The sequence below is a fragment of the Homo sapiens genome, chromosome 21 (assembly GCF_000001405.40).
Source record: "Homo sapiens chromosome 21, GRCh38.p14 Primary Assembly".
Lineage (NCBI taxonomy): Eukaryota > Metazoa > Chordata > Mammalia > Primates > Hominidae > Homo > Homo sapiens.
In genome coordinates this window covers 33,781,587-33,805,060 of record NC_000021.9, presented here as the reverse complement: position 1 = coordinate 33,805,060, position 23,474 = coordinate 33,781,587, and the positions used below count along the sequence as shown (strand labels likewise).

The window sequence follows — 23,474 nt, the reverse complement described above, 5'->3', positions numbered from 1 at the left end:
GCCCTGGCATGGTTATTTTTTGGAAGCTCCCTCAGCAATCTGGATGCATTCAGGCCTGTACCAGTCCAAGGATAAGCATTTAAACCAAGCTTGTCCAACCCGCAACCCACTGGCTGCATGTGGCCCAGGACAGCTTTTAATGAGGCCCAACACAAATTCGTAAGCTTTCTTAAAACATTATGAGTTTTTTTTGCAAGCTTTTTTTTGAAGTTCATCAGCTATTATTAGTGTTAGTGTATTTTATGTGCAGCCTAAGACAATTCTTGCAATGTGGCCCATGAAAGCCAAAAGATTGTACTGATTTAGACACTCAGCCTGTGTTCTCAAGATAAACTTCAACAAAACAGCAGTGAGCATAGGTCTTCTCATTTCTTATGTTCTACTAACATGTTACGGATGTCAAATTTGATTTAATTCACCCTCCAAGTATTGGGAGTTCCAGATCAAGAGAGGCCATGTATTTTCTACGCATCTAAGCCTTAGCCATCAAGGTCAGACTCAATTGAAAGCATTTGGTCTTCCCTGAGCACATCACTTTACACTGATTCCTCTCCTCTTTTAAATTCCTAGCAGAGTTAGTGAATGTTTATTGAGAACTTCATCACATGTTGGCCTTTTCATGTGTTTCTCTAGATTTTTCTAAAAAGATTTTAAACATATGAATGGCAGACTTGATAATTTTCTATTATCTACAGTGCTGAGAATAGTGCTATATACAAGGTACCACATTAAATTTTTGTTAAACATGAAAAATTATAGTTTTGGATAAAACCAGGCTAAGTTTTTCTAAAAACAAAATATTTTTAAGGCTAAGACTGCCTACATTAAAAAACACTGTCACAATGTTAGACTTCTAAAAATCGAACATATTATAGTAAGCTATGTCCCAAAGACGTTTGAGGAATCTGAGAATCTGATGACTGTGCCCACAAAAGTATAAGTGAACCCCGGATTTTTCAACCTAGGGAGACTGACAGTAATGTTGTACTACATGTCTCATGCTCATCATTTGTTAACTGCAAAATTCATGAAATTAAAAAAATACAAACCTGTTGCTATTAGATGTCAATATCTATCTTTTTGCATTGACTGTTATCCTCACAAAGATAACACAGCTGAATGGCACCTGGAGTATCACAATGCATTTTGTAGTACAAAATCGAAACACTGCTGTCCCTTCTGCAAGCCAACGAATTATGCCTAGTAGTACATTCTACATTTCATTACATATTTGGGAGGTCTGAGATATAATAAACATTATTACAGTCCTGAGTAGATACTCTCTAATATACTTGTCCTTGAATTTATTTTGTTTTATTAAAAATTACAAATTAGATACATTTATAAAAATGAAAATAACATAGAAGTCTATAAAATTCAACACGAAAGCCCCTTCTTTACTGCCCAGTGGTAACCATTGTTAACAGTTTGATATATATATTTCAAAACTGTTAACTATACATAAACACATGAATACATATATAGTTTTATTTCGAACCAAAATGCAATTATGCTGCACATATTCTGCTTTTTTGATGGAAATCTTATGTGTATATGTGATCTACATAAGTTTTAATCTTCATTGTATTTTTTAGCTGTATCATAATTTATTTAAGCCATCCCTTTACTGATGGACATTGGGCTGTTTATTTGCTTTTACCAACACCACTGCAGTGAACATCCATGTACACACATATTTGTGCATGTGCCCAAAAGAGGAAGGAGAAGAATGAGAGGAAGGAGAAAAATAGAATTTCTGGGGCAGAGGGAACGAGAATTTTAAATCTAAACAGGCACTGCCAAATTGCCTTCCAAATCGCTTAACCAATTTATACAACCATGCTAACAATGTATATTATATCCACTGTCCTATACTCTTGACAAAGCTGGATATTACCAGACTTTTAAACTTGCTCATTTGACAGAGGAACAATGCTATTTTGTTTTATAACTTGCATTTTTCTGATCACCCAAGAAGCTAAGCATCTTTTCATGTATTTTTTAAATAACTGACTTTTTACTTCATCTGTGAATGTCCCTTCCCACCCTCTGCCAATTGTTTAAGGCTTGTGGGTGTCTTTCAAAGTGAACTGTTCGGAATCTTTATGTAACAGGGGTAACCCTTTATGTAACCCTTGGTCTCATATATTTTGAAACATAGACATTTTAATTTTTGCATATTGTTGACTGTCCATTTTTGCCTCTTAACGACTTCTGGTTTTTATAGCTTCAAAAGGCCTTTCTTAGCCAGAAAATTATTCCAATAGTCTGCTTAAAAAAATTTTTTTCCCAGAATTTTATCTTTTATGTTTAATCTACTTGGAACTCCTTTTTGTCTATGGCCTGAGATGGAGACTTGACCTAATCCCTTGCCAAACACAGAGCATTCAAGTTAGTCCTTAAAAGGAATCTAACAAAAAGAAACCCAGTACACAAACTGAGAAGACTTACGACTTACTTTTTTTTTAAAAAGCACAACCTACTACACAGACTCAAACACATTTTTACTGCCGCAACAACACCCAGAGATACGTGTACTTACACAGAATTCAAGTGACTTAAAAGGACAAAACATTGAATAAGATGCAGACTTCCTGACAGTTAGGCAACACTTACCCATTCCCCTTTAACCTCCACCAGGAAAGCAAAGGTTTGAAAGCAAGGCAAAATATATGTTTAATGACATGCTTTATTCTTACAGCATATCTAAACTCTACGCATCTCATCAAGCTGGTGGTTAACTAGCCAATTCGAGGAAAAGGTTTCAACAGGCCTAGGATTACAAGTGAAGCCCAGATATGTTCCCGAAAAAGAGCAACACTTTCTCATTAAGATACAGATCACCTGCAACATTTCCTCATCATCACATTTCATAACATTCCCTTACTTTAGGATGAGAGCGAGCTGCTTCTCTGCACCTTGTGTTGCAACAAAATCCAGTTTCAAAAATATTAGGCTGGTTTGTTTAACATTAAAAAAAAAATTGTAATGAGGTCCTCACTGATGTGACATTGTATTTTCAGAAATTTTAGATTCCTATTATATGGTGTTTACATATTTTACAATTAATCTGCTTTACAGGATACACTACTTCAAATATGAGGCAGTATGAGTAAAGTAGCTTCAGGCTATCAGAAACCACGGTGTAGGAAACAGCAGGTGGTGAAGTCAGAGGAAAGCTGACAGAAACACACCCCGCTGGCTCAAGTTACCATTTGTGTGTACAGAGTGGCATGCCCAAACCAACAGTTCTTTCTGTAAAGGATGAGTAAGGCTGGCACCCAGCATGTTTCAGTCAATAACTGTGTGCTGAATGAAGCCATGGAGTATACTTGAAGAGGTTTTTGCTACTGTTAAGGTGATTTTAACTTTTAAAGATCTGGAGCCTGGGCAACATAGGGAGACTCTGTCTCTACAAAATGTAAAAAAATAAAAATTAGCTCGGTGTGGTGGCACACGCCTCTGAGCTACTCAGGAGGCTGAGGCAGGAGGATCACTTGAGCCTGGGAGGTGGAAACTGCAGTGAGCCAAGATCATGCCACTGCACTCTGGCCTAGGTGACAGAGTGAGACCCTGTCTCAAAAAAAAGAAAAAATAATTTGGGATGTTTGGCCTTGCTTCTTCTAGCCCATGGTAATTACAGAGAAAGCAGCTATTAGGAAAAAAGGGGACACAGGAATTCATTTCTCTAAGTGCCAAACATATTGTTATTTCTAGGTATTTTAGCCTATTAAAGATCCACAGATATGATGTGTATATGGCAAGATGAATGCATGAGTAATAGTAAAATCACCTGTACACCACCCTTTATACTTCAAAGACATACAGTCCTTGGGTAAGAAACATGTTTGTTTCAATTGTTAACTTTCACAGTTCTTTACAAATTCTAGGCCAGGCATGGTGGCTCATGCCTGTAATTTCAGCACTTTGGGAGGCTGACCTGGGAGGATCGTTTGAGCCCAGGCAATTCAAGACCAGCCTGGGCAACACGGAGAAACCCTATCTCTATAAAAATTACAAAAATTAGCTGGGCATGGTGGTGCACGCCTGTGGTTCCAGCTAGTTGGGAGGATGAGGTGGGAGAATCGCTTTGCTTGAGCCCGGGAGGCAGAGGTTGCAGGGAGGCAGAGGTTGCAGGGAGGCAGAGGTTGCAGGGAGGCAGAGGTTGCAGTGAGCCAATATCACACCACTGCACTCCAGCCTGGGCAACAGAGTGAGAACTTGTGTCAACCACAACAAAAAAAAAATCTAAATTATCTTTAAAAAAAAAAAAAATGTTAAGAGTAATGCAGAGTTGACTACTTCTAAGACTCTAAAGAGAGTAACTAGAACAAGGAACTACTATTTTCTTTTAGAAAATGATTTAGATCAACCATGTCTGATTTTCTTTCTTAAACTGGTTCCTATAGTTTTAGTCACATCATAAAATGATTATTAGTTCAAGGAAAGAAACAATAACAAAGCAAAATTCTAAACTATTTTCTGTTACAAAGTAGGAAAGCAGATTAACTGTATAATTCATTACTCTTTTTACATAATTAAAAGTTCACATAATTAAAGGGAAAAAAGATGCTTTGATGCAAAGATACAAAAGTTATTGCAATTATGAGAATGATTTGATAGAGTGTTTTGCACTTATAACTATTTCTTAAAGACTCCTGGCCTCCTTCCACCTTGGAGGATCCTTTTGTGTGTGTATATATATGTGTACATATATACACACACGCACACTAGTATATATTATACATACACATATATATACACACGCACACTAGTATATATATTGTCTATACATCATATATAAAATATATGTATTACATATATATGTATACTCATAGTATATAAGTAGTAATCTAAACTCTGAAATTATCAGACATTTATAGATTTAAAAATAAGAACACACTGTCTTTATCAACTCAATTTTAAAATGATGTTAGGATACATTTTTTTAAATGCCATCTTTCATTTTAATAGAAAAGAAAGAAGATTGAGCTTATACTTTAAAAATCTAGATGCTGGATTATTGGGTTTCATACTCACTGACAATCTCACAATTGTTGAATAAAGTGAAAAAAAGAGGACAGAGGCTAATCTTCAACAGAAATGACCCTCTCACTGGAGTCTTTCTTACCATGACTATGTCTCCTGGCTGGATAGTGATTTCATCATGGCTTCTGGATTCAAAGGGGTACAGTGCCCGGTAATACACCACTTTTACATTTTCCTGTGCAGAAATGGTAAGTGGACCTTTTTCTGTTTACAAAAAAAGGTGGGGGGGACAAAAATAAATAATTACAGAGAACACAAATGTATGACAACAAGCCAAACAACTAACCTCTCCTCTATTGCCTATCTTAACCTCTGAACTATTTCCCTCCATTCAAGGAATTTCTGAAACACATACTGAATGCCAAAGCACAGCCAAATCTGACGTCAGCAACAAAAACCCATGAGAGAGTTCATTAGTGACTCTCTCTAAACAAAGGTCACTCCAAGCCTGGGTGCGGCGAGGCTGCCTAAAGGTCCCTTGTCTCTGCCTCTTTCCTTGGGCTCCAGCAGTGCAGATCTGTAAAGCATCAATACCCGCCCTCCTCCCTACCCAGTGTGTTGAGTACAATGTAGCAGTTAGGATATGACCCAAAGTCTGAATCAGCCAAGGAGTCAACTTGTTTGGGAGGGAACAGAGGCACCAGTTTCCATACTGAAACATGAAAATGCAGATGTTTTAGGCTCTTTAACCTGGTCATATAAAAACTAAGTGCTGATTTTGGTTATACTGATAATCCCCGATGAAGACACTCTTCCTCTACATTTCTTTGGGAAATAATTAGCCTAAGGATGAAACCTAGATGAAAATAATTTAGATTTTACATGAAATAAAATGTTTAAAAATGCACATGAGCGGAGGATATTTTGGATTCTGGTTAGCAAAAACTAGTAACAGACCTTTGGGCATTTTTACTCAAGAGCTACAAGTATTTTGACATATACCTATCTTATCTGAAAAGCAACGAGGGGGAAGTATTATCTCCACATGATTTTGAACTGTATGACATGCAAGATTTCCTACTGACTGAAGGGGAAAAATAAATCCTCATCTTATACTAGGAGGACGCATGAAGAACTTAAACTAACTTCCTAAGATCAATGGTGAAATTATTTTCAGATTAAAAAAAAAACTATCAAAAAATTAATTTGCCCCTCCTATGACATGGTTGCTACTCTGTAGGTCTGATGACCTGCCAGTCTTTCCCCTGGACTGCATGCATCTGAAGGCAGGTAGGTGCCTAATGCAACTCCATACCTCACGCCCATCTCTGCCCACTATGTAGCTGGGGACCAGTAAACCTTTACAGAATAGCTTGAAAGTGTTTTTTCTTTCTTTTCTTTCTGTATACTGAAGCACTAAAGAAGCACATGGATGACCAAGCAAAACTGGTATAATTTACCACACAAAGAAAAAGCAATGACTTGCTTCCACTGAACATTATTTGCAAAACTGTACAATCACACAACCACACAAGAATCTTAAATACATTCTAGCTCACATCAGATATTATAAAGGATAGCTTTTTCTAGCTATTCCGATTAGATTGGTCTTTCATTTATCTTTTTGTTCAGTCTTTCATTTATCCCTTTTTTAAAAAAAAAAGGCAAATTAGGCTAGGCATGGTGGCTCATGCTTGTAATTTCAGTACTCTGAAAGGCCAAGGTGGGAGGATCGCCTGAGGCCAGGAGTTCAAGACCAACCTGGACAACAAAGTGAGACCCCCCATCTCTACAAAAAAAAAAAAAATTAGCTGGGCATGGTGGTGCATGCCTATAGTCTCAGCTCCTTGAGAGGCTAAGACAGGAGGATTGCTTGAACCCAAGAGTTTGAAGCTGCATTTAACTATGAGTGTGCCACTGCACTCTAGCCTAGGCGACAGAGTGAGACACTGTCTCAAAGAAAAAAGAAAAGGAAAGAGAAGAAAGAAAAGAGAAGTAAAGAAAAGGCAAATTATGCTTTTACATTTTTCAAAAAGTAAAAGCAGTTTTATGCAATGCAGACCGAAGACAGCGAATGCCCCATCAGTGGAGGCAAGGGTGAAAGGTGCCACTTTCTGTTGCAGAAACAGCTCAGAAATTCCAGGGAGGGAAATAACAAACCAGAGAAACAGCAGGTTCTTTTGCAGCATATAAGACCACTGGAACTTCACGCCACTTGTTAGCTCCGTAGAGGACTCGTGGATGCCAGTGTAACGTGGGCCAGAGGCTGGCATGGTGGTGGGAGAATTACACAGATCTCAAATGACCCTGGGGAAAGAAGAGCTGGCCATGCTCAAAATAAGAGACTGACGTTCTCATCTGTTAATGTAGCCAAGACAGGTACTGATGAGATAGGGGCATTTTTCAGGAGGCTCTGGGAGAGAAGATGACTTATTTTCTATAATTATTTTTGGCTTCTAATACCTGCAGTGGACCAGGGTGCCTGGACAGCTGGCTTAGCTGGTTCTTGGTGTTGATGGAAAAGCCGACCCAGCTTGTCTTGTGCTTCCTGTTTGCCTTTTTCCTCGCCATCCTTCTTTTTGACACTCTCCTCCCTTTTCAGTTTTTCCTCTTCGTGGAGTTTTCTTGGTCTCTGATGCTCGTCCTCCTGCTGCACATGCTCCAGCCACTGCTTGTCCCTTTCCTGAGCTCGTCTGCCAACAAACACGCTTGATTACAGCAAGAAAGCAACTCTAAGTTAACACTACTGTTGCCTCTTTTCACAAAAAAAGCTCCATCCAGTAAATGGGATGGGAACATCAAGGGAACATTGTTGTTCAGATGGGGCAACTGAATCAGGGCTCCAGTTCTGAATGAGAAGAAATCACATGATTTAGGAAAACACAGAAAATTTCTGATGTATTTTACAAAGTGGTTACAAGAATAAGAAAAATACTTCTTAATAATAAAGCTGGTATTAAACTGACAAAACAAACAAACAAAGCCATAAAACACAGAGAACATAACTTCTATAAAAATAAAATACACCCAACACTGTAAAAATTTCCCCCCAGCAAAGGGAACAACACATTTACATGCACACACATTGCTCCCCAAACCTGAAGTTGAAAGCAAGGGATTGTTTTATTGACTTCAACTACTTTGATTTTGTTTTTCAAAGTAGCTACCACAAATAGATAATTGTAATTAAATCTAGGCCTTGAAATTTTTGATGGCCTCAACCTGAAACCCACAGTAAAAGACTGAGAATGATTTTTCTCATTCCATAATACTTTATAAAGTCAGAAAATACTTTAAATGAAACTAATATGTAATAACAAATGACATAATAATAACTAGCTCCCCATATATTAACTCCTTTAAACTGCGAATCAGGTTGGTAGTCCTAGTATTACTCCTATTTTACAAATGAGGAAGCTGGGGCAGAGATATTAAATGACTTGTCCACGTCACACAGCCATACATGCATGGGCTTCAATCCCAGGCAGCCTGGTCCCAGAGTCTCCACCCTGAACTGCCATCCTGTGACATGGCTAACGCACACAGGTCATCGGCTAGAATTAGGAATCTGCCACGGGAACATAATTGAAACAAATTATACTTTTATTCTCCATTGTCAAAAAATTACATTTATTTCTACTCTGTATGAATGTGATATTTTAATGCAGAAGTCTTTAAACTTAAATCTTAAACATTTTATTTACAATTTTTAAAATGTCTTTTAAGAAAGTATAAAAACATTTTTTGGAGGGGTAAGGATATGGTTATTCATGACAACAAAAAAACCATAATAAAAACAGTGGCCAGGCGCGGTGGCTCATGCCTGTAATCCCAGCACTTTGGGAGGCTGAGGAGGGCAGATCACGAGGTCAGGAGTTCTAGACCAGCCAGGAGTTCTAGACCAACATGGTGAAACCCCATCTCTACTAATAATATAAAAATTAGCTGGGCGTGGTAGCACACACCTGTAGTCCCAGCTACTTGGGAAGCTGAGGCAGGAGAGTCGGTTGAACCTGGGAGGCGGAGGTTGCAGTGAGCCGAGATCGTGCCACTGCACTCCAGCCTGGGTGACAGAGCGAGACTCCGTCTCAAAAAATAAAAAATTAAAAAAAAAAAAAAAAGAATTACTTTATATTTTCTACCAATGAAGGTCACCATATATACTGTATAACCATCTAATTTCTGACGTTAATTTGCAGTTTTTATCTATATAATTGGAATACATATTCCATATTATATTTTTATGCTATTTTCTGTATTATGCTATTTTATGTATTTTTCTGTATTTTATGTTTATTTCTACACTGTAGGAATTTAACAGTTCAGTGTGGTATAGTGTGAATAATAAAAGCATTTTATAAACTCTGGGGGTAAGAAAAGGATGGAGTTAATCAACATCCAAGGAGGAGATCCTTAGTCTGACCCCCAAGAAAACCATAAAACAATCCTGTAAATTGGTCTGGGACCCCAGATACCTCCCCACTGGCACTGAAAAACAAACAGAAGACTCTATATACCCATAAGAAAGTATGCACAGCTCTTGGCAGGTTAACTGAACTCAGCCCACTAAAGTCAATGACTTGCCTCAAGTATCCGTTTCTTCGCCTTTTTAATCTAATTTCTTGAGACAGAGTCTTGCTCTGTTGCCAGGCTGGAGTGCAGTGGCATGATCTCAGCTCACTGCAACCTCCGCCTCCCGGGTTCAAGTGATCCTCCTGCCTCAGCCTCCCAAGTAGCTGGGACTACAGGCGCGTGCCACCGTGCCCAGCTAATTTTTTGCATTTTTAATAGAACAGGGTTTCACCATGTTGGCCAGGATGGTCCTAATATCTTGACCTCGTGATCCGCCCACCTCGGCCTCCCAAAGTGCTGGGATTACAGGTGTGAGCCACCATGCCTGGCCTTAATCTAATTTCAATTACCAACTTTTATAATTTACGGGGCTGTCATTGGGACATTTGGTCATTTTTGTTTCGTGGAGTCTAAAATTAACTGACATTTAAAAGGCAAATACCCAGTAACAAAATCAGACACAAATTTCTACAATTTACTACAGTAAGTTACAAGTAAAAATAAAAATATCACAAATAAATCTTCAAACAAAAACAGATAAAAACATGTCTGTATCCTACACACTAAGCAGCGGTGGCAAATTTCCCCCTTTTGTACTAAAGTTTAATTTGCAGTTGAAAAACAGAAGAGGCCCACCCTGACCCTGCTGGAGAAGCCCTGTGTGGGGCACTAGCTCAGTGGCTTGGATTTTAAACCAGGCACTCCAACCCCTGTTAGCTGTTAGTAAAAGGCTGTGAACTGGCCATTAGCATGCAAATGAGCACACCAAGTGTCCCAATTTCCTTGTATAATTCCATTTATCTACATAGTAGTAGCTTGAGAGAGCTCTGGGAACCAACCAAAAACTTCAGAGGGTACTGATACATGCAAAGATTCATATATACACGTGTTTGTGTTTGCACTCACACTTCACATGCACACTAAAGACTGAAGGCTCTTTCTGGTGCAGTAACTACTTGGAGAAGCCAAGCAAAGAATAGTAAATCCTCAAAGTTCCTTCCAGATGAGTCCACAATCCAAAGAAGACTCACCTTTGGGCTTCTTCTTTTTGTTTTTCTAATTCTATGATCTTTCGTTCTTGTTCTTTCTGTTTCAGTCGTTCAGCCTCCATGGACTTTTGCTTCTGGAGTTGTTGCTTATTGTGTATTTCTCTTAGTTCCTATAATTAACCGAGAAACAGTTCATGTAGCGACATGAGTGACAGGTACATCAACTATTTATCAGCATGCAACATTTCATAGTGGGAAGCCTAGGACACTTAGGAGATAACGTTTCAGAGTTGGAAAAAGTCAACTTGGAAAGCTAGAATCACACCACATTTTGACATGACTGATTTCCAAAGGCCACTTAAGATTACATTCTAATGAGCCATACACATTATACCATTTTCCATGATCTGCTCTAGAAGAAACCTGCTAGCGAAGGGCAGGAGGTGAGCTCTGCTGCTAAAGGCTCAGCAATCATAATGGAACGTAACCAGTTCCAAGATATGACGATGATCATGAATAAAACTTAAGCTTCTTTTGATTATCAATCAACACCAACCTTTACTGGCTTTGAAAATACAGATGCCTCTTCTTCACTGACTACCTCCATTCAAACCTCACCTCCACCTTTCACTAAGCTGCCTTAGAACAAATGGACATCTCTTTGCTCCTCAATTCTTTGACCTCAATTCTTCCCCCCAGGGTCTATTTTTCTTCAAGTTGCTCCTCTTCCAGAGCATCTTTTCTTACTAAATCTATCCTTCAAGTCGCTAACTGCCCCAAACTAAACCAGCAATCAGGTTAAAAGTAAAAAGCTATAATTTGATGATGAATACCTTGGATCCAATTTCCTCACTTGATACTACTAGCTGCAGGAATAGCAGTAATTTCCTTAGCAGGCTACTGAAAATAAAATGCATTCTATGATATTTAAAGTACTCAAGTCACAAGTTTAGACACCTGAAAATAGGAAGAATAAGGAAACGTCTGCTGAGGAAGAAACTCCCTGATTCCATAGAAATCAAATGGTCACCAATAGATTGAGTCACTGAAACTCGTCTTATGTGGGCCAGCGATAAATCAGATGAGTCAAAGTGCCCAGTAGAGCCAAGGTATCTTTCCAGCTGATTTCTTGATCTAACCAGGGCTGGTCCTCCCAGTACATGGCCCAGGGATCTCTATGGGGAGAGTTAAGGACTAAGATTTGCCCTGTCGTCTTCTATCACCTTTCTCACTGGCAAGACTAGATGGGCAGGTAGGTTTCTTCCAGGCCCTAAAATTCCTACCTTTAGATTCATTCAGAGATTGAACAACAAAGGTAGACGGTTTGTCTGTAGAAAGTCAGTATTAAAATGCACTTGTTATTGGAAAAAAATCCTAAGGGTTAGGCTAACCTTTTCCTACTAATTTTGCTAAGGTTAAAGTTAAAATCCATACACAAATGTTTTATAAACTGTAAGTGACGCTGAGAGGCTTTAAAAGAACAATGAGATAAAAGAAAAAGTTTAACTGGAGATAGGGGTCTGGGGGGAGGTACTTAGGAAGAGGAAGGTACTGGAGGAAAAGGGGAAGGGGAAAATGGAGAAGAAGGGAAGAAGGAAAAAAGGAAAGGAAGGAAGGGGGAAGGAGGAAAAAGAAAGGAAGAAGGGGCTTCAGTAGGGAACCTAGCAGATGACACTGGGAACATCCAGGCAGGACACAGCAGGAAAAGGTACCTTTGTAAGGCACAAATTGGACTGTTCCCTATGGCAGCAGACCTGACATGTGGAACAGAGGGAAGGGGAAAAGAAGGCTAAGACTGGAAAGCAATGATGCAGCCTCACACTGACTGTTTAAAGTGCTGAGATCAGAAAATCAACCCTAGGGAGAAAGAAGTCCATTTTTCATCATCTTTCTCACTGCCATACCAAGGGATGTAAAACTTAATTTTAATGTGTTAAAAAATCAGTAGTACTGGTTTTCATAGTAACCTGGAATCAAGAATAAATAATCAGTAATAATATGAATGAAAATTTCATTTTCAAGACCATCAAATTCTTAAATAGGTTCAGAAAAAATAATTTACAGCAAAAGACTATACTTAAAAGTTACGCCACCATGGCTAACACGGAGAAACCCCGTCTCTACTAAAAATACAAAAAATTAGCCGGGCATGGTGGCAGGCGCCTGCAGTCCCAGCTACTCGGGAGGCTGAGGCAGGAGAATGGCGAGAACCCAGGAGGCGGAGCTTGCAGTGAGCCAAGATCGCGCCACTGCACTCTAGCCTGGGTGACAAGGCAAGAATCGGTCTCAAAAAAATAAAAAATAAAAAAGGTACAGAACTGGGAATCAAGAAACCAGGATTCTAATCTCAGGTCCCTGATATGAGCTGGCAGATGAATCAGAATGGATGATCTTTAGGTGTTCTTCTAGTTTTGGGATCTGATAAATCTTAGACATTGTTCATCACAATGTCTAACAAACAAATAAAGTATTTATTTATTTCAGTATCTGTTTTATTTAGAATTTTATTCTTAACTGCAAGAATAAGTGAAAAAAGCATAAGCAAAATAACCCTGAGCTGAAATTAAACCCTACAAAGGAGTAAGAAATGCCGGAAGAGAAATAACATTTCAGCTTGATGTTCAGGAATCTGATTATATATTAAATAAAGAAAAGTCCTTATTTCATCCAGGAAAAAATGTATTCATGAGTGATATTCAAAATATTCAACAACAGGTACTGCACAACCAGAATGGACACTGGCCATGATGTATCAACATACTATAATAGATAGCCCATAGGCACAAATGAAGATTTTTCATTTTTCCCCAAGAATTATACCGCACATTTCCTTTCTATACTAGGCTCTTGTAACTGGATATGGATTTATAGATCATTGATTACCGGATTTAAGTAAAGCTAGTAATACATTAGGAGAGACTATAAAATTGAAAAGCTTGTAAGAAAAAGTGATTTTGAAGAATCTACAGAAAAAAAACCTACCTATGACACAGTTTCAAAAATAATTTTTAAATGTATCAAATACATGAAAAAAGATACTTAAATTTTTTAAACACACTTGTTTTTGAGTATAGCAGTATTTGAACCGATCTTAGGAACTGATTATGTAAGTTGCAGTTTCAAGCACCTCCAAGGAATGGAGCTTGCAGGAACCATAAAATAACAGACGACAAATAAGCTAACAGAAGGCTCTGGCACCTTATGATCCAGATTTCAAGATGGCAAAGTTTTTCTATCATTTCCTTCATCCAAGTCAAACACTGCTGAGATACACAGTTGTAAGGAAATCAACATGCTGCCCAGAGGCAGGCATTCTGGGTCTTCTCTTTTCTTGGACTTAAAGAGTTTACTATGGCATGAATCAACATAAGCAGAACATGGATGATTTCTAAGTTGATAAGCTTTTTAAAAAGTTGAACTTCCGAGAAGGCAATCTATAGAATGAAGAAATATATACTCTTAAAAAAATGAGTGAATGACTCTCCTTCCTTTGCCAGAACAAAGTCCTTGTAGAATACCCAGTCCTTTCACATAGGGGAGCAGATGGCTACACTATTCTCTCATTCTTCTCCATACTATTAAAGAGACTCAAGTACAGTTACAGTTATTAAGAAGTATCCTTTTAACTCCTTCAGAAAGAAAAAAATTCAAAGTGACAAACAAATCTAGTGCCATTAAATTACATATCTAGGAAATGAGCAAATTATTGGGGGAAATGGCTAAGGAAAATTTCACCACACTGAAAGTATCAACATTTCCTGGTAGGCAACTTGATTTAAATGACCCTGCAAATTCTATTAAATCCACATGGAATTTGTCACAGTTATTTTGCTATTATAACAGAAAGAAAACAAACAAATTACCACGAATCAAAAGTCAGTATCTCACTCGGTTCTTCCTAAAGTTAAGTGATTTTTTTTTCTAAAACCAGTAATTCTACAAAAACTTGTTTCTTGGATGGATATTAATCTAGCAATATAGTACGGAGTGTACAACTTTGTTGATTTTTCTTTTATGAATTCTATTCAAGTGTATGACATGTTTTACACTAGGTAGAGTATGTAATAATTTGATATTATCTTCCAATAAAACATAATTACAGTACTTTCTTAAATAAGAAATTATTAAGTAGTCAAGAAATTGTAGCTGCATGTAACAAATACTTATGCAGAAAAAATAAAACTATAAAATGTGTAGTATATATACTACACACATATATTAAATATTAATATTAAATATTAAAATAAGTTTTTTTTAAAAAATCACAATTTATGCAGAATCATGAAAATACAGAGTTTCTTAACCAGGTTCCATGAATAAGCTTCAGCCCTGTGGATACTATGTTGCATGCAGACTTGGGGTATATGGGCATTTTTCTGGTGGAGAAAGCTCACAGCTTTTATTAGTCTCAAGGGGTCTTTGATCAAGCACAGCTCATGAACCACAATAACAAATTACTGGCATATCAAGATTCTGTTTTGTATTAGTTAAGATAAACGAAAATCAACTTGCTTTTAATTTTCTTCCCTAGACCAAAGAGGGAAAAGTCACTTATTTCCCCTAAAGAACTAAGATATTTGAACCATAAAACATCTTTGGACATCCTATGGCACAGAGCCAAAGTATTTCAAAAGCAATCTGTTTGACAAATTGAATACCCAAGAAAATCCAACTATTTTTCCCCTGAGAAATGTGGCTCAGGTTTACTGAAGAAGTTTGTTCTATTGCTAAGCTAAAAGGCACAGAATCACTTGATTTAATAACTGTGACTGTTTCTCCTTCATCTGGTCTTAGAGACACTCAAAAATACATGTATTATGTGAAACAATATTACTTGAAATATAAAGTAGCATGCGCCTGAACAATATATAGGATTCCTTTTCACAAACATTACTTTGCATAATGTATATGAAGAGAAAAAAATAGCAACAGGGGTCTATGAAAGGAGACCAGCAGTTAATGGAAATGTATTTACTGATTTAGATATTTAACTTTTTTGAAGGATTTTGCTTTTGGTTCGCCTCAGGATGTCTCTTGGAAATGAGAGACAAAAACAAACATAACTTAATTACTTAAATTTCATGAACTCAAAACCATAAATCAAGATAAAATTATTTAGCTCACATATAACATTTATAATAATCTTCATACTGTTAATATTAAATTGACCTCATTAAAAAATGATGTAGCTACCAGCATCAGAAATTTCAGGTGTTTATCTATAATATCACATCCATAAAAAGTCCAAAGTAGAAGTGCTTTTCTGTAAATAAACATTATTTCTCACCTAGGGATAATATGTAGTATACGGTATCAAAATTTATAGAAGGCCTTTGGAGTTTTAAAATACATTAACTTTTTCAAATTAAGTGGTTGTGAAACAAATGAAGAGCTATTAAAGAAGGCCAGTTAACAAACCCCATGAGGTGAGAACTTGTGCCTGTATGGAAAATTTTGAAAAATAACGATTTCAGAACACAGAAACTATACCCAAATCAAGGTAAACTGATAGCCCATTTATCATAAAATTATAAATTTATTCATTCATTTAAAAAATTTATTTATTTAGAGACATGTGTTGTCCAGGCTGGAGTACAGCGGCTACTCACAGGCACGATCATAGCCTTGAACGTCTGGCTTCATGTGATCCTCCCACCTCAGCCTCCTGAGATATATGTCACTGTACCAGGCTACATTTATTCATTCTCGATGCATTAAAACTGAGAGGACTATACAGAAAAATATATACTGATTGGTTATTCATTTATTTATTTATTTGAGATGGAGTCTTGCTCTGTTGCCCAGGCTGGGATGCAGTGGCATGATCTTGGCTCTCTGCATCCTCTGCCGTGATGAAGTTCAAGTGATTCTCCTGCCTCAGCCTCCCGAGCAGCTGGGATTACAGGTGCATGCCACCACACCCAGCCAATTTTTGTATTTTTAGTAGAGACAGGATTTTGCCATGTTGGCCAGGCTGGTCTCAAACTCCTGACCTCAAGTGATCCACTCGCCTCGAACTCCCAAAGTGTTAGGATTATAGGCATGAGCCACTGCACCTGGCCTGACTGGTTATTTAAATTCTGAAATGGGATATACTGTTTGAAAACATGTTCAAAAATTTAAATTTGAAGTCAGTATTTAACAAAATAATAAGACTATTTCCCATGGCACAAAATGGTAGTCAATGTGTCACAAGTGCTAAGGGAGATTGGAGCAAGGTGTGTGTGTGGAAGGAGGTGGGCAGAAGAGCTAGAAGCTCTTGTCCTCTCTGCAATAGTAATAGGTAATCAGACACCCTCTGCCATGAGGCTTTGGGAAGTACCCTTGGGAAGCATTACCAGAAAGAGAAAACTGATTCCATTTTGTCCTGAAAATCTGAATTTCCCTCAAAGTGTCTGCTTCAGTCACAAAGCAATATTCCATTAAGAGAAGAAAGTATTTTTTCAAAAGACTGAGTTCTTCTTAACCCTTTCCCAAATTATCTTTTATTAAATTTTTACAACCTTAAAAAGAAAAAAAACCCATGCTGTAACTAAAAAACTCAACCAAGCAGCCTACTGGTATGGCACAGAATCTGACAGAATGAGAGTTAGAGCACTTTATTACTTCTGTGCATAAGAGGTCTTTTCCAAAGGATCATATAGGTAAAAATAAAATTTTAGCTTGAACAGAATGAAAGAACCAAACATTATTCTACTAATTATGACAAAGCAACATGGCTATTTGAATTCATACTGATTTCTCTCACTGTCTCTGTGCCTCCTCTTTCTGAGTCTTTCTCCTTCCTTCATTGTTTCCCTTCACAAGCATTTTTTTCCCTGACTTCTTACTCTGTTCTGCAGTTCTTTCTCCAGCTCTTTTCTTTTTTCCTCTGGTTGCTAAACATTTTGCCTTTCACTGCCTTCATAATGAATGAGCCTCCCATGAAAGCTAGTGTCTGAAACCAAGAGTATAAAGGCTTTAGTTAAGCAAACAACCTCATTTACTACAACTGGCCTTCTCATTTCAACATCGATTCGGTTCTAAGAGCAATTTTTAGAACAGGTAGCATTATGGGGAGAATTTATATTTCTAACAGCCTCTTGTGTCTAATTTTAGAAGCCTGGATTTCCCAAGTATACTAAGGAATTAAATCATAATTGTGAATTAGTCTTAAATATTCAAACTTTGCTAGAAAATAAAATGCTATACACATTTGGAATAGTATACTGATCACAGTATGTCTCCCATGATGGAAACATGCACATGACCCAAATAACAACTGAGCGCTTTCACATTTTTGCAGACAAGCTCAAATTCAATGATCTAAAATGCTTGTTAAAAAGACAAGACTACAGTATACAGTACCTTGTCCAGCCTGTAATTCAGTTTACACCACCATACACACACGCAACTCGTCAATAGGAAAGAATCAATCATACTCCACGATTAATAATAACTAGTAATTAACTTTTATAAAGAAGGCTTAGTACTTCATGGTAAATGCTATCTTAGACACTGAGCACTCATCTGCGCAGGGGAAACTGAAGCACAGAGCTGGAGATGGTTCATCATTCTTAGTCTGAGAAAGATGTGCATTGCCTGAGTAGGGCATGGAGACCTTTAGAAAGAAGTCTAAGTGGATGACGCAGCCCAGGAGAACTGCCAGGCACTGCAACACTGCCTCCTCCATTGCCACTGACTGGAAGAAAGAAATGCTCAAATGTAAACGGCCATTCACATTAGGACTTGTCCAGTACACACTGACTAGACAGGAACCAACAAGGACTCAACTTTTCAACATGAAACATAAAATCTAGCTCCGTTGGGTGTTGGATTCTCCTTATTTGACCTCTTAAAGGAGCCTGGAAAACTACAAGCTGTACTTTGTGCTGCTGCTCCATCTTAGAGCTAAGACATTAAAATATGGAACATTAGGCTGTCAGTGCCAAGGAAAACTGCTACAGTAACTACTGACATCGCCAAGGTCAAGGTAAAGTCAGGTGCTACTGTCCAAAAAGTCCTAGCAGTAATGTTATTTAACACTTGTTTGAATCATAATTTTATGCCTATAGGTAAGCACTGTGTGTAAGAAAAACTACCCTTTTGGTACACAGAGTCTCCAAAAAAGTTGGGAGTTTTAATTTTCATGTAAACTGAAGTAGAAGTCATAGATAATAATTTTAAATTGTTGTTTCTAGAACGTGGATCTGAGAAGACTACCGATTTCTTAATAAGGTATTTGTTACATACAGAACACATTTTAAAAGCAGAAATTAATGGTAAATAAATTTTACCCACTGAATTAAAACTATTTTAAGATGTACTAATTCATGCTAGCAATAATCACAACAAAATTAATTATTCCTGGTTAATTCACTGTTCAAATATTTCATTTGATAATCAAAAACCTAAAATTTATCATGCATAGCAAGGGCAGCATAAGTACAAAGGCTGCCAATTGGGGAATTTGTAGGATAAGAGCTTCAATATTTCAGGGTGCTATCGTTTCTCCTCTTCTCCCACCCTCCCTGTTTTTACAGACTTATTTAAAACCCAAAAGCAAAGTTTATTTGCTACAGTAAGATTCCTGTTTCCTTTCTCAAGTAATTATTGGTTTGGGTGGTAAATAGAAAGATATTTACATCTTAGGATCTTTTTTTGAATATATAAATATGACACCTAAAAGGTAAATATCTATTAAAACGCATGGAAAAACAGCCTTTTTTGGAAAACAAAAAATGAGCCTTCAATTTCCATGGATTAGGTAGAAACTTAAAGGCCCACGACTTTGAATATGGAGCCATTTAACAGAAGATCACGATTATAAGTATGCCTTATGTTTTCAACAGGTTGCTTCCTATACGAGACAAATACCTGTTAACCTGTAACTTTTTCCTCTTTAATTAATGCTTTGAGAATTTCTATCTTTGCTTATCAGATTTTGGGTAGGGAAGGAAGGAATTCTTCCTGAACTGAAGAAAATGGGAGAAACCCACAAAAGACAAATTAATCTGAGCAAGACATTCTAGAGAAAGAACTAAATCAGATTGTATGTTAAAAGAAAAGGAAAGTATAAGTGTATTTAGTTTTTTGACTAAATACGCTTCCTATACTTCCTAATCACTGTCTTATAACTCAGAATCTGGGCTGAACCAGGGTACGATTATTCCCTGTATTACCTTTATACCTAAGAAACTGGACATAACTCTGAGCATGCATCAAAGTAGGTGAATGACTTATTGCAATTTACCCAAAATAGTGAGAATCAATTTTTGTTAAATGTTATCCTCATTTGTGGAGCCAGCCACTTAATATAGATTTAGTATCCTGATCAACTAATTTTAAAATTCTGTACTCTGTAAGGTATTCCTCCAGTGTTACAGTACTAACCTATAATGAGGGAACTGCATTTCCTTCTTCCAGGTGAACAATCTACGTGAACATGAAATACAAAAGAACAGGAAGCCCTAATTTCTTTTCTGTACTCTCCAGCTGGCTTCCTTTAGGGAAAGGAAGGTTTAGGATACAACAAATTCACACTATCAGGTTAGATGTGTGAAATGACACATCCCAGGAAGGCAGAAGTAATTTTTGCATCAACAGCGTGGATGCTCTAAAGGCACTGCCGATCAAGAGGGGCACTGAAGAAACCCCAAGAGTCAGGAGACTGGCTCCTCCTGGCCTATCTCTTCATCCAAGAAAACATGGTTGCTAATGGACACATGCTCTAAAGTTACAAAAAAAGTATTTCATTTTCCAGTGTGGCTACAACAAAGAAAAGTGGGCAAGTGACACTTAAGAGACTAAATGATAAATCCATCTCTGAGTTGTCTCAATCAAATTCTATAAATCTTTTGATTCTCCAATTTAATTGTTTGTTTTGGCTTTATCAGGTTTGAGAGGAATACTAGAGATAATAACCATAACACAACATATTCACTAAGTCCTCCAAATGCGTGTTAAATAACAAAACAATATAGTTATACTGACCTGTGATTTGTTTACTGTTTTGTTTGTTTGTTTTTTGAGACAGGGTCTCACTCTGTTGCCCAGGCAGGAGTGCAGTGACACAATCATGGCTCACTGCAGCCCCAACCTCCCAGACTCAAGTGATTCTCTGACCTCAGCTTCCCAAGTAGCTGGGACTACAGGCACATGCCACCATACCTGACTAGTGTGTGTGTGTGTGTGTGTGTGTGTGTGTGTGTGTGTGTGTGTTTTGTAGAGACAGGGCTTCACCCTTTTGCCCAGGCTAGTCTCGAATGATCCACTTGCTCAAGTGATCCACCTGCCTCCCAAAGTGCTGGGATTACAGGCACATGCCACCACACCCGACCTGACCTGTGATTTTTTTTAAACTCATCATATTAATTAAAGTTAATAAGAGAAAGCCAAAATTAAAATTAAAAAACAAGAAGAAATACTCTTATTTAAAAATAAGCATATTTGGAAAAAGGGCTAGTGGAAAAGGGGGCTAAAATTGGCCTTTATGTAAGAAACTCTGTGATACTGAAAGCAGCCATAGTCAATTAAACAAAGTAGGGGTGACTCGCCACATATTAAGGGTGTTCTCTTTAGTAATGGCAACAGAAATTCAATCACCAAAATTATTTAATCTTCTAGACATTTATCAAAAGCCTCTCACTAGAGTATCATTTTCTAATACCTGAACCTTTTTTAGGGGAGTCAAATTTCTAGAAAAAGAATCAATGTGAAGGCACAAATCTGGACTACTGCCTGGGTTCAGAAGAGAGCTTAATATTTAACAGTTTATATCCCAAGAGACTATTAAAAAGCAACATAGGCTTTGCAACAGTGCTATTTTTTTTTTTTTTTTGCTTATAAAAGAGACAAGTGACAATGAAAGTTAATGTGAGCATACTTTAATTGAACTTATTCTTTTTTGTTTTTTTGTTTCTAATTGCACTTATTCTAGAGATGGTTAATTTACAGCTGTACTTCCAATACTGACATACCACACATAATCATATATGCATGAATATAGAACATATATAGTGTACACACAAACACACACCATGTAAGCATGAAAGCAAAGTGAAGAAAAACACTAAGTTGGCTCAAATAATATTTCCCCTAAGAGCACTTTCCTGGAATCGTACAATTGAGAAAAGATCATTACCTAATACTCTGAAAGAACAGCACACATACCTCAAACTCAGATGTCTAGACAATTTGGCCTAGAATCTCAATCCAAAGGTCAACTATTATAAAAGTTTCAAATATGCTAATTTTTAATTTTGTTTTTAGAATTATAGAATAGGAGTTTTACTTCTTCCCACTGTCAAAAGCTGAATTGGCTTAAAAAGAATTTTATGTTAGAAAAGGAAAACAAATATTTGGAGGGGAAAAAAGTATAACATCCAATTTCTTATAAGAATAACAAAAATGCTAATATCTACATACATCTAAAGTAGTATATGATTGTTTATAAGAAATAAACTGTTTGTGTTCTGATTTTAAGAATTAACATTCCTTTTTTTTTTGAGACAGAGTCTTGCTCTGTCACCCAGGCTGGAGTGCAGTGGCGTGATCTTGGCTTACTGCAAGCTCCGCCTCCTGGGTTCACATCATTCTCCTGCCTCAGCCTCCCAAGTAGCTGGGACTACAGGCGCCCACCACCATGCCCGGCTAATTTTTTGTATTTTTAGTAGAGACGGGGTTTCACCGTGTTAGCCAGGATGGTCTCGATCTCCTGACCTCATGATCCGCCTGCCTCGGCCTCCCAAAGGGCTGGGATTACAGGCATGAGCCACCACGCCCGGCCAAGAATTAACATTCTTAAGATGATACAGTTGTAAAGTTAAATCAGAAACACCAAATCTGAAAAAGGCTGTGATCTAACCATTTTACATTTCCTCAGAGTTTTGGCATTTTCCCAATTTTACTGTGCAAATGTGACAAAACCATACACCACTTCTGCCACAAGAGACAAAAGCAATTACTCCACTAAAACAGTAAGATTTAAAAATGAGGTAACAAAATAAAGATCTACATTTAAGCGCAATGAAGATAAGAAGTGGCAGAAAAATTCTTAGTTTTAAAAAAGAAAACAATCCCTTTTAGTAGTATTCAAAGAACATAAGAAAGATAAAGCTTTTGGAATCAACTTGATGTGACTATAAACAGACAAAAGAATGGAGATGTGTCAAAATATGATTCAGGTTAAAAATAGATGTCATGCTGGGGCCACTCATTCAGCCCTAATTTATAGATGCCAAATTCATTCTTATATTTTCAAGGAGAAAAGTGCAATTTAGATTGTCTCACAATGGCATAATAAATTTTTCTGCCTGTGATTAAATAGCAACTAATCATTTGGACAGTTAAAAAAATTAAAGGTAGGACACACATGCAGGCACACATAGAAGAGTTACCTTCAGCTGATTATTGAAAATATCAATCTCCTGTAGTTTTGATCTAGTTTCTTTCTCCACTTCATCCAGTTGGTCTCGTAGGTGCTGCCGAGCTAGTTCTTTTGCTTCTAAGGCTCTTTTAAGTGTAACAAGTGAATCTCCTATTTTAGAAAAACGTCGCAAAGATAAGAAAAACTTTAATTTGCAGTGAGGAAAATGTTTTTTAATGTTCTCATTTCACTTAAGGAAATTCTTGCTGGTTAAAAAATAAGAAAAGGCTGGGTGCGGTGGCCTACACCTGTAATCCCAGCACTTTGGGGAACCAAAGTGGATGGATCACCTGGGGTCAGGAGTTCGAGACCAGCCTGGCCAATATAGTGAAACCCCATCTCTACTAAAAATACAAAAACTAGCTGGCTGTGGTGGCATGCACCTGTAGTCCCAGCTACTTGGGAGGCTGAGGCAAGAGAATCTTGAACCCGGGAGGCGGAGGTTACAGTTGGCCGAGATTGCGCCACTGCACTCCAGCCTGGGGGACAGAGTGAGACTCCATGTCAAAAAAAGAAAG

The 23,474-nt window shown here is 37.5% G+C and overlaps 1 protein-coding gene across 30 annotated transcripts in view, besides 1 other annotated feature; it reads right to left on the bottom strand.

Moving 5' to 3' along the window:
• Positions 1–23,474, bottom strand: part of ITSN1 (intersectin 1) — a 257,361-nt gene that overhangs the window by 94,801 nt on the left and 139,086 nt on the right. For 18 of the 30 annotated variants that reach the window (NM_001331010.2, XM_017028432.3, XM_017028434.3 and 15 more), the window contains 4 exons: positions 22,928–23,067; positions 10,593–10,720; positions 7,453–7,682; positions 5,132–5,253 (listed from right to left, as the gene is read on the bottom strand). In NM_001331010.2, the coding sequence (NP_001317939.1) occupies positions 5,132–5,253; positions 7,453–7,682; positions 10,593–10,720; positions 22,928–23,067 (620 nt within the window). Of the gene's footprint in view, positions 1–2,616; positions 2,632–5,131; positions 5,254–7,452; positions 7,683–10,592; positions 10,721–22,927; positions 23,068–23,474 lie in introns of all 30 variants that reach the window. The other 12 variants (XM_017028428.2, NM_003024.3, XM_017028431.3 and 9 more) reach the window with 1 other exon arrangement.
• Positions 2,898–3,399: an enhancer, noted in NCBI's record as "NANOG hESC enhancer chr21:35173966-35174467 (GRCh37/hg19 assembly coordinates)". NCBI's record gives its function as "activates a minimal SCP1, AML or CMV promoter by ChIP-STARR-seq in naive H9 embryonic stem cells {active_cell/tissue: H9 hESC(naive)}" and the evidence as "EXISTENCE:reporter gene assay evidence [ECO:0000049][PMID:30033119]".